The 14746-nt window shown below is 45.0% G+C and overlaps 1 protein-coding gene across 6 annotated transcripts in view, besides 2 other annotated features; it reads right to left on the bottom strand.

Annotated features, from left to right (window-relative positions):
* Positions 1-14746, bottom strand: part of SHROOM2 (shroom family member 2) — a 163015-nt gene that overhangs the window by 25096 nt on the left and 123173 nt on the right. For 2 of the 6 annotated variants that reach the window (NM_001320663.2, NM_001320664.2), the window contains exon 1: positions 11761-11856. The exons of the other annotated variants lie outside the window; for them this stretch is intronic. The gene's annotated coding sequence lies outside the window, so the exon portion shown is untranslated. Of the gene's footprint in view, positions 1-11760; positions 11857-14746 lie in introns of those variants that run through there. 6 annotated transcript variants of the gene reach the window in all.
* Positions 244-743: an enhancer, noted in NCBI's record as "H3K4me1 hESC enhancer chrX:9891645-9892144 (GRCh37/hg19 assembly coordinates)". NCBI's record gives its function as "activates a minimal SCP1, AML or CMV promoter by ChIP-STARR-seq in naive H9 embryonic stem cells {active_cell/tissue: H9 hESC(naive)}" and the evidence as "EXISTENCE:reporter gene assay evidence [ECO:0000049][PMID:30033119]".
* Positions 744-1245: an enhancer, noted in NCBI's record as "H3K4me1 hESC enhancer chrX:9891143-9891644 (GRCh37/hg19 assembly coordinates)". NCBI's record gives its function as "activates a minimal SCP1, AML or CMV promoter by ChIP-STARR-seq in naive H9 embryonic stem cells {active_cell/tissue: H9 hESC(naive)}" and the evidence as "EXISTENCE:reporter gene assay evidence [ECO:0000049][PMID:30033119]".

Genomic DNA, 14746 nt, shown 5'->3' with positions numbered 1-14746 from the left:
CCATAGGACTTTCCAGACTGTGAGCATCAGCAGGCTAGAGGCTGTTTGGTTGTCCTTTGCATGCCCAGCTTTCAGTCATAAAAACTGAAATTGCCCAATGAACAGACAGACCAGCTAGTGACGACAAAGGACACAGCTGTTCTCACAGGCTCTGCTGCAACTTTTGTGTCCTGTTGGAACCACCTTCAGGGAGGACAACAGCCCTGAACCATCCTTCAGTCAGTCATTTCTCTACTGCCGTGTCTCTGCTGAAGCTGCTCCCTGTATGCCAGGATTCTAGTGCCATGTGGGGAAAGCAATTACTCTAGAAAGTCAGATGAATTTAGTGTTTCTTGAGTGTCTTCACAGATGGATAAAAAGGTCTGCTGCTTCCTTTGGGTTTTATTTGTGCTTGCAGGGACTTGGATGGCAAAGAGTAATGAAGTTGAATTAGAGAGGCTGATAAATCACTTGTGGTTAAGAATGGGAGGAGACAGAGAAGATTAAAAGAGAAATCCAAAGCACAGATGATCCAAATCATAGTTACAGGCACTGATTTCTCGAGGGGTTAATGCCCAATAACAGAACCTGCCTAGATTTGGAGATGATAATGTGAGATGGCCCTCAAGTATCGGACCCTGAGTATGTCTTCAGCACACACATTTTGAGGATCTGTTCCAGGCCTCTATTGTCTCTGTGCCTGGAGAGCCACATTCTTGGTTCCAGAGCGTGAGCCCTGGGAGCTGGGCTCTCCCGCCTTGATGAGGGCCAGGCCTGGGCAGAGGTGGGAAATAGCAAGGGCTGGCATGCCTGCAAGCCTGTGTTTCAGGGAAAGCCCTCCAGGCAATGTGGATGTTGAGCCAGCCCTGGGAATCTCTGCTTTACAGGAACTCTCCCTCCGGAACTCCCAACCTCCCACTTTCTTACCCACTTCCTTTAGATATTCAAAGCTATTCCTGAAGTTTTCATCGCTGCCTTGGCATACCCCTCTGAAATGAAATTACTCTCATCTGTGAAAATGGTAAGATTGAGTGCACCCCCCGCCCCCCACTGCCCTCTTCCAGGCCTGGAGGGACTGATCCACATTCCTCCAGCCAGAAAGGCTTCTTGAACCCTGGGCCAGTTCGTCTCTGCTAACTGTAACAACTTCAAAAGGCAGCTTGTGGAGGTCCACTCTGGTTCACATATGGACTACTGCTCACAGTAGCAACTAAAAAGAGGCCAGAAAAGTTATAAAATCATAGGTTTTACAAATTCATCAGACTCCCCACACACATGTAAAAAGTCTTCCCATCCCCTCTCCCTTAGTGTTCCCTTCACAGTGCTTTCAAAATGAGCAATTACAGACACGCGGGTTTTAAAAATTAATATTTGTCTTACCTTCTAGACCAGGAGTTTGCAAACTAGAAACCAAGGGCCAACTCTCCACTGCCTCCTGGTTTTGTAAACGAAGTGTTATTGGAACACACACACGTCCCTCATCAAAAGCTGAGGACAGCTACATGAACTCAATTCCAGAAAGTCTCAAGCCCTTCACAGGAGAGAAAAGACCATGGCTTCTGAGTCCTAGTGAAACTGTGTGAGGAAGGAGACTCTCACACACCTGCCCTGCGACCCAGCCAGTCCACCGCTCCCAGAGAAACAACTCTCTCACCCAAGAGAAACAACACAAGCCCTCATTCATGTTGGCCAAACACTGCCCACCTACTGGTGAGTGGATCAACCAGTGGTGCTGTATTCACAGAAGGGAACACTAGCCAGTAATTTAGAAAAACTACCGAGACACAGCAGTGAGAATGGGTCCCAGGGGCACGACCCTGAATGAAGGGTCAACCGCCAAAGAACGCACAAGTAGGGTCCAGTTTACATGAAGCTCAAGAAGAGGCAACACTCACTAGGGTCACACATCAGGGAGGGATGGTTGTGGGGCAGGGTTTCATTGGAAAGAGTACAAAGGAGCTTTCTGGAACTTACTGTTTTGATTACGAGGTGTATAAAGTTATCAAAATCAGCCAGGCACAGTGGCTCATGCCTGGAGTCCCAGCAACTTGGGTTGCCTAGGCAGGAGGGTCACTTGAGGCCAGGAGTTTGAGACCAGCCTGGGCAACATAGCAAGATCTGGTACCGAAAGAAAAGTTTTTAAAAAAATTATCCAAGTATGGTGGCATGCACCTGTAGTCCCAGCTACTTGGAAAGCTGAGGCAGGAGGATCACTTGAATCCAGGAATTCAACGATGCACTGAGCCATGACTATGTCACTGCATGCCAGCCTGGGCAACAGACAGAGAACTCATTTCTAAAAAACAAACAAACAAAGAAGTCCCAACAATTCCTTTGAAACTCCTTCCTTCAAACAAGTGGAGCTTGTTAGAAGTAGGCCGGACTCTGACTCCTTTTGAACAAGCAAAATATGGCAGAACTCACATGTTTACTACGACATGAACTATTGTGAATAGTTCACTTGTGTGAACTATTTATATTGTGAATGCCAAGGCATGGAAGCCACCTAAGCAGACATTGACAGATGAGTGAATAAAGAAAATGTGATGCGTGCATATAGAGGAATAGAAAAGACTTAAAAAGGAGGGAAATCTTGCCATTTGTGACAACATGGATGAGCCTACAGGACATTATGCTAAGTGAGACAAGCCAGGCACAGAAAGACAAGTGCTACATGGTCCCACTTACGTGAAGAATTTTAAACTTTCAAATAGAATGAATGGTGGTTGTTAGGGGATGGGGGAAGGGGAAACAGGGAGGTATTGGTGAGAGGGCACAAAGTTTCAATTACGCAAGATGAATTACCCAGAGACCTACTGCACAGCGCAGCGTCTGTAGTTAATAATTCTGTATTGTACATTTACAAATTTGCTAAGGGGGTAGATCTTATCAATGACAACAAAAAAAAAGAGGGTTGACAGGGTGGGAGAAAACTTTTGGAGGTGATGGATCCGTTTAAGGCACTGATTGTGGTGATGATTTCACAGGCTTATAGATACTTATCTCCAAATTCATCAAGTTGTATACATTAAATATGTACAGCCTTTTATATGTCAATTATACCTCAATAAATTGGTTTAAAAATGTATGGCAGAAGTGCCGATGTGTGACTTCTGAGACCAGATCACACAGGCATTGCAACTTCCTCCTTCCTCTCTCCCGAGGATAACTCACAGCGGGGAAGCCAACAACCATGTTGTGAGGACACTCAAGCAGCCCTATACGGAGATCCATGTGGGGAGGAACTGAGGCCTCCTGCCAACAGACATATGGGTGCCCTCTTGGAAGCGGATCCTCTAGCTCCAAGCAAGCCTTTGGAAGACGGCTGTCCTGGCCCACGTGTTGACTGCAATCTCAGGAGATGCTGAGCCACAATAACCCAGCTAATCTCCTCCCTAACCCTCAGAAAGTGTATGAGATAATAAATGTTTAGTGGTGTTCAAGCCACCAAATTGGTGGACGATTTGTTATGCAGCAAGGTAACTAACACAATTATTCTACTCTTTATGCTATAATGATCAAGTGATCTGTGGCTGGCTTTTTGTTTTCAATGTATACACAGGAAATTTTGAGGAGAAAGCAGACCAGAAATAAAACTCATAAACACATCAGGTTATCTGCTTCTAAAAATCTGATATGGGCACAATCAGTACCCTAACTGGATTTCATGCCAAGATTCCCAACAATTGCTTATAGCATATTAGCTGACTTTTTTGTTATTACTATATTTCTTTAGGTTAAAAGAGAAAAAAAATCATATCTGAATCTCTGTGATAAATACTATCTTACTGTGGCAGACATTTTCATTTACCTCAATAATAGTTTTAGAAGCATCTGGGTTGTGTAATATTTATTAGGTATGATCTATTATTGACAAAAGCTTAAAGCTACTAAGGTCTGGGCAGAGGTAACAAGCAATGTATGAATTTGAGTTTACCTTACACCTTGTTCCCTACACCTACATGCTCTTCTGAGCCACAAATGTGTATGTGAATTTCTAGACATCTAGGATGGATCTAGGAGGTGTTCATATTACCAAACACTTTCACCTGTATTCTTTTCACCTCCACAACTCTATCGGGGTATCAGTCACAGACCATAAAACTCAGTGACTTGAGAGGTACTGTCTGATGAGTTGTAGTGAGCTGAGATGTCTGTCTGATGAGTTGTGGTGAGTTGAGATATACTGTCTGAGGAGCTGTAGTGATTTGAGATGTCTGTCTGATGAGTTGTAGCGAGTTGAGATGTCTGATGAGTTGTAGTGATTTGAGATGTCTGTCTGATGAACCGTAGTGAAGTTGAGATGTCTGATGAGTTGTAGTGAGTTGAGATGTCTGTCTGAGTTATAGTGAGTTGAGATGTCTGATGAGTTGTAGTGATTTGAGATGTCTGAGTTATAGTGAGTTGAGATGTCTGTCTGATGAGCTGTAGTGATTTGTCTGTCTGATGAGCTGTAGTGATTTGAGATGTCTGTCTGATGAGTTGTACTGAGTTGAGTTGTACTCTGTGATGAGCTGTAGTGATTTGAGATGTCAGTCTGATGAGTTGTAGTGAGTTAAGATGTACTGTCTGATGAGCTGTAGTGGGTTGAGATGTACTCTCTGATGGGTTGCAGTGAGTTGAGATGCCCTGCCCTACCTATGCATGCCTGGTGGTTCCCAAATCTCTGTTTTGATTCGCACTTTTTGGGACCCTCCCCAAGGAAGCCATTCCTGTTCTGAAGATCCAGTGAAATGCGGGGCCGGGTGCGGTGGTTCACGCCTGTAATCCCAGCAGTTTGGGAGGCTGAGGGGGGCAGATCACGAGGTCAGGAGATCAAGACCATCCTGCCCAACATGGTGAAACCCTGTCTCTACTAAAAATAGAAAAATTAGCTGGGCATGGTGGTGGGCGCCTGTAGTCCCAGCTACTCAGGAGGCTAAGGCAGGAGAATCACTTGAACCCAGGAGGCAGAGGTTGCAGTGAGCTGATATCATGCCACTGCACTCCAGACTGGCAACAGAGCAAGACTTCATCTCAAAAAAAAAAAAAAAAAAAAAAAAAAGCAACCTCCTCCATGAAACATTTCCTGGACCCATTGACACAGATATGCCTTTCTTCTCTGAACTTGCACAGTACTGAATCTCTACCTGTTGATTCCTAGACTGCACTTCACCATTCTGTGGTATTTTCATTTAGTATCTCTCCTCCTAGCTGAAACGACTGTGCTCACCCCTGCCTCATCTACCTCTGTATTCCAGGTCCAACACAATGCCTGGCACAAAGCAGATTGCAGCAAAAGCTCACTGAGTCAACAGGAAAGAAGGAACAAAGAAACAAAGGAAGGGAGGAGGGAAGAGAGAAGAAAGGAGCAGAAAGCAAAGCAGGCAGCCTGATGTGCTCGGGCCTTCTGAATCCCATGCTCCTCAGCCATTCACATTTATGTTGCAGTCTAAATGCCTGTGCCCTGCCTCCCAAATCCATAAGTTGAAATCCTAACCCCAATGGGATAGGATGAAGAGGTGGAGCCTTTGGAAGGTGATGCAGTCAGGAGGGTGAAGCCCTCAGGAATGGATGAGTACCCTCATAAGAAGCACTCAAGGATAGCATTGTGGCTGAAGCGTGTAATCCCAGCACTTTGGGAGGCCAAGGTGGGAGGACTGCTTGAGGCCCGGAGTTTGAGACCCTCCTGGCCAACATAATGAGACTCCATCTCTACAAAAACAAACAAAATTAGCCAGGCATGGTGGTACATGCCTAAAGTCCCAGTTACTCAGGAGGCTGAGGTGGGAAGATTGCTTGAGCCTAGGAGTTTGGGAGTTTGAGGCTGCAGTGAGCTGTGATTGCACCACTGCACTCTAGCCTGGAGTGACAGAACCAGACCCTGTCTCAAAAAAAGAAAAGATATGCGAGGGAGCTTGCTTCCTCTCTCTGCTCTCCCTCATGTGAGGACACAGGTAGAAAGTGCCATCTGTGAACCAGGAATCCACAGGCCAGCACCTTGACGTTGGACTACCAGCCTCCAGAAGAACTGTGAGCAATAAAAGTCTGTTGTTTAAGCCTCCTAGTCTATGGTAATTTGTTTTAGGAGTGTAAACTGGCTAGGACAATTTCTATATTATCTTCACTATTAAGAGAGGACAAACTCCTTCAAGGAAGGTTCTGTCTGTGCCTGATTCAACTTTGCATGCAGCACAGCACCCGACCTCGGGAATGCTAATTGCTAACCAGGGAGGTAACACACTGATGTCACCTGAAGACCTGTTCACAGAGACTGCAGTTCTTCTGATCCTAGCGGTGATTAAAACATAGGGGCAAACAGACAAACAAAACCCCTTAGACTTCCAGTGTGCTGGAGCTGAAGGGCCTAGGAGAGGATTCCATACTAAGTGAGAGGTGGACAGCCCCAGCTCCACTCCACAGCCATGTCCCAACTCTCCTCTTCCACTGTAACGTCACATTTCCACAATTACTATAGAAACAGATTGTGTTAGGCTCACTTGCCCAGTAAGAACGATATGAGGTCACTAAGTTTTTCCATAAAACAGTGACTGTAATAACAATATTGGCCAGGTGTGGTGGCTCACGCCTGTAATCCCAGCACTTTGGGAGGCCAAGGCAGGTGGATCACAAGGTCAGGAGTTCGAGACCAGCCTGGCCAATATGGTGACACCCTGTCTCTACTAAAAATACAAAAAAAAATTAGCTGGGCGTGGTGGCGCATGCTTGTAATCCCAGCTACTTGGGAGGCTAAGGCAGGAGAACTGGCTGAACCCAGGAGGCAGAGGTTGCAGTGAGCTGAGATTGCGGCACTGCACTCCAGCCTGGGTGACAGAGCGAGACTCCATCTCAAAAAACAACAACAACAACAACAACAACAACAACAAAGAACCACAATATTAACTGGTGACCGAGAAGCTCTTTGGTGTTCAGAACGTGTTTCTACATATGTTTATGTGGTCCCCACTTACTTTGATCTATGTATACCCTAAATGATGAAATGTTTAGAAGTGTCTCACGCAGGAGAACAAACACACAACTTGAGTATCAAAATGAACATAAAAACATCACAGTGAGAGCAAATGTAAACAAAAAGCAGAAGGGCACAAGCAGGGGCAAGCACCCTTATGCAAAGAGCAGACCGGACACGAGAATGTACAGAGGTCCTATGGTTGTGCTTCCAATAGGACCACGAGTTTCCTGTCAACCAGAGCAAAAGATGGGAACTACGATGAGTTAGGGTTGTCGGAAAGCTGGGCACTTCTTAATTTTTCCACAGAGACAATTTTTCTACCAGCCTTCCGAGATGGATGTCTACACCTCCTAGGGAATTCATGCTGACAGAGCTCCTGGTGGCTACACCTTCTGCGGCACACATGGTAACAAGAGACCAGTAATGGCAATGTACAACTAACAGAAGCCAGTAGCCACCAAAAGGCAGAACTGGCCACACAGAGGCTCCAGGTGCAAGGGCGACAACGCTAAAATTCAACACACTTGTATGTCAAAAAAGTTGAACTGTAACCACCCACTAACATCTGGAAGGCACACAGCACACGGTAGGGATGTTATCTGCAACCTAAATGACAATAATCAAGAAAGGGCTCATCTTCAGTAGGAAAATGAACACGCGCTGAAGAGTAATGTACAAAAGAAAAAACACAAATGGCTAGTCAGTGCACCAAAAAAGTCTGACTTTGCTAGTCCCTGAAGAAATGCAAGTTAAAAATGAAATAACTTTTTTGCCTATCAAACCACAGAATTTTAAAAATGTCTAATATTGACAAAGTTTTGGGAGAAGTAGGACTGTCCTGGGCGATCGGTGCCCCTAGAGTGTAAATAGTAAGCATACACTTTTTGGAGGGCAACGTGGTGATATTTTCTAGCGCCTGCCTAGCAACTCCATGCCCAGAATTTTATCCGAAGGAAATCAACATGGAAGAGCACAAGTATTTCACTACAGATATCTGCTGCAGTATTATTTACAACGTCAAACACCAACAGCAGCCCTAAATGTCCACAGTATGGCTACAGGGTTGTTAGATTTTAGAATGTCATGCACCATACACATACAAGTTACAGAAAAAGGCAGCTTACATACAGTATGTGTAATATAATTGCATGTGTAAAAACATATTTGCAAGGACTTCAAAGCAGATATACTTCCATGTTCCACAGCGGAGACTCTGGGTGATAGGATTGAGGGTGATTTGTTAATATCCTCACTCTGCTTCCCAGAACTTCTATATATTCTTAATAAAAAGGTTTTAATTAGCAAAATTGATTTTTAAAATAGGAAATGTTAATAAAAACTGTATATCACAGCCTAGAAAGCTGTAATCCCAGATTAGTATAAAACCTCATTCTCAAAAACATATGTGAAGCTTACAAAATCAGGAGTAATTTTGAATTTTGGGTGGCCCTGTGGTAAGATATATTAAAAACTAGTTAGAATAGCATATCAGCTTCATAAATTAAGAGAAAATCTCAATCTTCCTTCTATCACAATTGCACGTGACCCCAAACTGTGGAAACCTTCCATCTCAGATCATTGCCTGCCTATCTTCTAACTCAGCTGAACCAGAATCGGAAATGGATTGTTTATCCAATAGACTTCAGATATTTGTTGTACATGACATTAACTTTATATGCATAATTACTATAGAAAATGTGTGTAGTACACATATGTGTATGGGCATGTATATGTGTATACACACACACGTGTATAAATGTTGAAAATTTTCCTAGAATTTCTAGCTTTTCCACCCTTAATGGCCTCCAAGTACATTTAAGGGTCCGCCAGCTAGATTTTTTTAACGGAATAATTTTATAACAAATTTCATGCAAGTTATACCCAAGAGCACCTTGGCAGTGAGTGGCTTTATGAGGCATTACCACAAGAAGACCGAAGTAGGCTTAGCTGTCAAGGGCATTCCCATCAACAAAGCCCTGTTGACAGAAAATTGAGTTTGCTGACAGAGCTGATTTTATTTGTAAATGGATATCGAAGCTATTACCCCTGTGCGTGTGTCTCATATATATTCATATGCTTTTGTTCCTGGAAATAATGACGGCAAATGAGCAAAACAGTGCAGCCACAAATCACCCCACAGAGCTGGAAATATGACTGAAGGGAAATTTGAGTCCCTGGCTTCTCTCCCTAAGAACCAAAAATGACTACAGCTGGAAGGGACCTGGGAAATAATTTAAACTTCAAGATCAAGGTAATGGTAAACATAAAAAATAAATAATTTTTAAATAAGAAATAATTTAATCTGTGTTCCTTGTTTTATGGATGAAGAAATGGAGGGTCAGAATGCTTAGGTGGCTTCGCAAGCCACACCAACGCAGGCTGAGGAGCACACATGCTGTCTCTGCCTGATTAACGGGTTTCTGTACTTCACTCCCAGAAGTCCAAACTGAAATTCCTTCTCACTGCACTGGCAGCAAACTGGATAAGGGATGTGAAAGTTACTAAGAGAATAACTAGGAATTCTTGGGCCAGTTCTACATTCAGCCTTACCTGGAGGACCTCGACCCATTAGTCCGCAGGAGCCCACCAGACTGAAAATCAGCCATGCTGCCCCACGAGGGCTCTTCACTAACTGGTTGTGAGAATCTAGTCACCCCGCCCCCAGTTTGCTTTATTATAAAATCAAGATGGTAACCGCATAGTAGGACCCAAGGTATACATATGAAGAGGCACTGTGAACTTTCAGGAATTTTAAATAAGGTGTCGGCAAATATGTTTTAAAGGTAAATAAGTAAATAACTCTAGGACCTCTTCAGACATCCAAGGATGTCTACAAGCCTTCCAGAAATGACCCGACTGTCTTACTTGCTCTAGGAAAAGCCAGCTGGAAATCAGTGCCCGAGGACAGGGGAAAGATGGGTGGATACAAGACATCAGCTTCTTCCCACTGCTCCCCTACCCTGGTCTTCTTAAAAATTTAATGCATATGAGAGGTAAAAAATTAAAGGTAGTGTAAAGTAAATGTATTCCAAAGGCCACATAAAATATTCCCTTCCTTCCTCAACCTCCAAAATCCAAAGGCGGACTCTGGAAGAGCAGCCAGCCCATGCAAAACAAGCAGCAGTCAGCGTGCATTCACCAGGGTCATTTGTCCCTCTGGCTGGGCAATAGAGCCTTCCGCAGCCTATATGCTTGACACCAACGTGTATGGTTATTCCTAGCACTCTGTAAAAAACTCTGTGTGTGTTGTTCATGCCTCTGTAGATGAGAATTCCCCTGCAATTTTTTTCCTTAAGAGGTATGGTGTTGGTTTGGGTTGGTGGTGATCGGGGCGGGAGGGGCGGGGGGGCAGGGGGGTGGGCGCAGGTGGAGGCGGAGAAACAGAAAGGGACAAAGTATAAAATGTTTTTGCCACTATGTGTGACAAAAGAAAGAAATGTGCCTCTACCACCCATGCAATGCTTTTCCGCAATAAAATAATAAGAAATACTTGTAGAGTATGACCTCAAAGGTTCTATTCCGTAATGAAAAGAAATATGCCAACCATTCATCAACTTGGTACCAAATCTTCAGTTTTTTTATATGATACATTAAAATATTATTTTCCATTCATCTTATAAATCTTAAGACCATCTACGAGGCAGTAGGCTGTTTACTCGTAAGTGCTACCAGGTAGATTTCCAAAAACCTTTCTTCAAACTCCTTTGCCTTTTTACCTTTCAACTAGCACAACCGCTAAAAACATGCATTTCAAAATGACACCTACTCTTGTGAGTCAGTAAATGCAGACCAAAGAGACAGCCTGTGTGTGCAAACATATTTATGCATCAATTTCCCTGTGAAAATGCCATCGACCCTCTGCACACACAAAAGCCTCCTTTAGTAAAGCAAAGGCATTCCAACCATTTAGAAATATAGCCAAAACTAATCATCTCTTTCTTTTATCACAACATAAAATGGGGGAAAAAGCACATGTATAGTAAAACCCTTAAACTGTCACAATCACACCAAAGAGCAAAATAAAAGAACTGGAAAATGCTAAGAACCATGGTGATTCCATTTTCTCTATTTAAATTATCTCACTGCAATCAGCAGGCTATGTGCAAACGCACTCAGGGAACATTTCTCATGACTAAACATGCACACCTGATTTCGCCGCTTTTTTTTCTTGAGGATGTAGCTGACTCACCATTTTTTCTCAATGTCCGCATTCAATGCCTGTGTAGTGAGAATGCCTGTTTCTTACTGCTACTGAAAAACAAAAGGCAAACGAGGCAGGCAGGTCTTCATGCGATGCTGGCGTCCTCCAGCCAGCTCCCTCGGGGAACCCATCTGCAGAACTCACATGGAGCAAGGGTCCCACATACCAAGGGCTGCAGTCCCATCAGAGCAGATGATGGCTCTACGGCTTCCAGCCTAGAACACGGTGTTAAGAGCACCGCCTTCCAGTTCCAATGTGCTTTCAGCTAACCGTGAATCCCAAAGCTGTAAAAATTGCATGCATCCACGAGGACATGCAGCACCGGCGAGCATGCCCTTACACATACGTGCACGCCTGTGGAGCTCGAGCCGGAATCTGCACCCTGATTTGCATTATTTCTCATCTTCAGGCAGAAGAATAAACAATGAGAACACATTCGCCGACCTCACCAGACCTTACCCACAGCATTGTGAGCTGACAAGCAACCTGCCCTTCAAGATAGCAGAACAAAAGAGCCACTGGGAACTACAAACCCCTAACAAACGGCGCAGGCGTCCTGAAACCGGTCCCATCTGGGATGAAGTGCCCCGAGAGCAAACGCAGAGGTCCCTTACCCGGCTCTGCTTACCGTGCTGGATGGGAGTTCGCCCAGCTGTGAAGGCAGCGATGTGCTTCAGGGACCCACAGCCCGCCTCTGCTGCAGCTCTCCTCCTGCCTACTGAATGGAGTCCTAAAGCCAAGCTCACAACAGCTGGCCTGTCTGTGCCTGCTGTCTTGTTGATGGGCAAGCTCACGCAGGCTCCGTCAACCTTCACCTCCACGGCTCAAGGCTCCGCTTGCATTTCCCATCACTTCATCAGCAACTCCTTGCCTCAGTGGGGAACATTCCCAACACTTCAGTGCTTAAACCCCAAAAGTCTTGTAATTTAAAACCCCAAAAGGCTTGGGGGGCAGTCTTCCTTTATGTGTGTGTGTGTGTGTGTGTGTGTGTGTGTGTGTGTGTGTGTGTGTGTGTGTCTTGTAATTTAAAACCCCAAAAGGCTTGGGGGGCAGTCTTCCTTTATGTGTGTGTGTGTGTGTGTGTGTGTGTGTGTGTGTGTGTGTGTGTTTGGAGAAAGGATCTTGCTCTGTCTCCCAGGCTGGAGTGCAGTGGTATGATCATGGCTCACTGTAGCCTCCAACTCCTGGGCTCAAGTGATCTTCCTGCCTCAGCCTCCCAAAGTGCTGGGATTATAGGTGTGAGCCACTGTGCCCAGCACTTCTTATATTTTAACGGGGAAATATAGAAAGCCCACTGCACTGATGTTACAGCTTTCTCTATTAAGTGATGCTAGATAATCCTATAACATATGTGACACACAGTTCAACTCCACAACCATAAGGAGGAAAAAGAAAACATTCAACAGCCTATTCTATGTCCATATATTCTTGGGTTGATTACACACTCATTAGGAATGTAACCCATCAAGCAACTAACAAGCGTTTCCGGAACTTTGAGTGTGTGCAAGGCACTCAGGGAAGACAAAGGCAGGCTGGACCTGACTTTCCCAATTAACCATTTCACAATGATCTCTATTTAAAGTCCCTGAGCCCCACCTCCCTCCTAACGCAGCCCCAGACCTCAGCACCACAGCCCCTCCAGGAAGCAGCGTCGCCAGCCACTGCGCCTCACAGCCCTATCCCACCCTCCCACATCCTGGGCTTAGCCACCAGGACGGAGTTTCTCTTTCCAACCTGTTCCTGTCACCCTCTTCTACATTCATAGCAATTACTTCCAACTCTTGCTCATTTCTCCAAATAACATATGCTGCTTTGCAGCCTATACTGTATCACTGCTATTTTAGATTTTTTTCCCCCATATCGACACTTAACCTTAGGCACTGTGCTGATTCATTAATGTTATATCCCTTAAGCATGTAAATAAGTCTGCGAGCAAGGTTGCTCTGCATATCCCCATGATCCAGGGCCGTGAGGTCAGCAAGCTTGGGGGACCTGACACACTTACACTGAGAGGCAGAATGAGGATTCCAGCCTGTGTCTTCAACTCCGAAGCCCGTGTTCTTTCCAGTACTTTTCATCTTCACGTATTACTTTACCAAGTACATGTTACTGTCTCTAAGAGAGGGTGCCATTCACCCCGGGCCATCACCTTTTCTCAAATGCTCAACACATACTGCCAGGCCACACACGGAACAGCAATCAGCTGATGGCTGATTAAATATTTTATTATAGGGCTGGGTGTGGTGGTTCACGCCTATAACCCCAGCACTTTTGGGAGGCCGAGGCGGGAGGACTGCTTGAGCCCAGGAGTTGGAGACCAGCCTGGGCAACATGGCAAGACCTGGTCTCTACATAAAAATTTGTAAAAAATAAATATTTCATTATACTTTTTTTTTTTTGAGATGGAGTCTCACTCTGTCACCCAGGCAAAAGCGCAGTGGCACCATCTCAGCTCACTGCAACCTCCGCCTCCTGGGTTCAAGCAATTCACCTGCCTCAGCCTCCCGAGTAGCTGAGATTACAGGTGCACGCCACCATGCCCAGCTAATTTTTGTATTTTTATTAGAGACGGGGTTTCACCATGTTGGTCAGGCTGGTCTCGAACTCCTGACCTCAAGTGATACGCCCGCCTCAGCCTCCCAAAGTGCTGGGATTACAGGCGTGAGCCACTGCACCTGGCCAGGGTCTTGCTATGTTGCCCAGGCTGGTCTCAAACTCCTGGCTTCAAGCAATCCTCCTGCCTCAACCTCCCAAAGTGCTTGGATTACAAGCATGACCCATTGCGCCTGGCCAGCATCTCATTTTAGAATGGGTTTAGATTTACTAAAAAATTGCAACAGCCAGGCGAGAGCTCCCATATGCCCTCTACCCACTTCCCCCTATTATTAATATCTGACTTACTATGGGGTGTGTTTGTCATAGTTAATGAATCAATATTGGTACATTAATATTAACTAAAGGTCACACTTTATTCAAATTTTCTGTTTAATCAATGTTCTCCTTCTGTCTTTGAACCTCATCCAGGTACTGCATCATACTCAGGCCTGCTTCTTCAGACTCCTCTTGCTGTGAGGGTGCTATAGCTTTAGACTGAACACTTGTGCCCCCCACCCCCAAATTCCTATGTTGAAACCTAACCCCCAGGTGATGGTGTTAGGAGGTGGGGCCTCTGGGAGGTGATGAGGTCATAAGGATGGAGCTCTTGCGAATGGGATTAGTGCCCTCATAAAAGGGACCCCTGAGAGCTCCCTCTCCCCTTCCATCATGTGAGGACGCAGCAGAGAGACAGCCATTTGTGAGCCAGAAAGCACCTTCACCAGACACCGAATCTGCCAGTGCCTCGATCTTAGACTTCCCAGCCTCCAGAACTGTGACAAATACATTTCTGCTGTTTATAAATCATATAATCTTAGGTGTTTTATTATAGCAGCCTGAATAGGCTATGATAGTTTCTCAGGCTTTCCTTGTTTTTGATGACCTTAATAGTTTTGAAGAGGTCTGTTCCGGCATTTTGCAGCATGTCTCTCAATTGGGAACTGTCTGATGTGTTTTTATGATTAGCCTGGGACTTCTGGGAGAGAGACCATGGAAGTGAAGTGCCACTGTTATCCTAT

This window comes from Homo sapiens, chromosome X (genome assembly GCF_000001405.40).
Source record: "Homo sapiens chromosome X, GRCh38.p14 Primary Assembly".
Classification (NCBI taxonomy): domain Eukaryota; kingdom Metazoa; phylum Chordata; class Mammalia; order Primates; family Hominidae; genus Homo; species Homo sapiens.
This window is presented reverse-complemented; position numbering and strand designations above follow the sequence as displayed.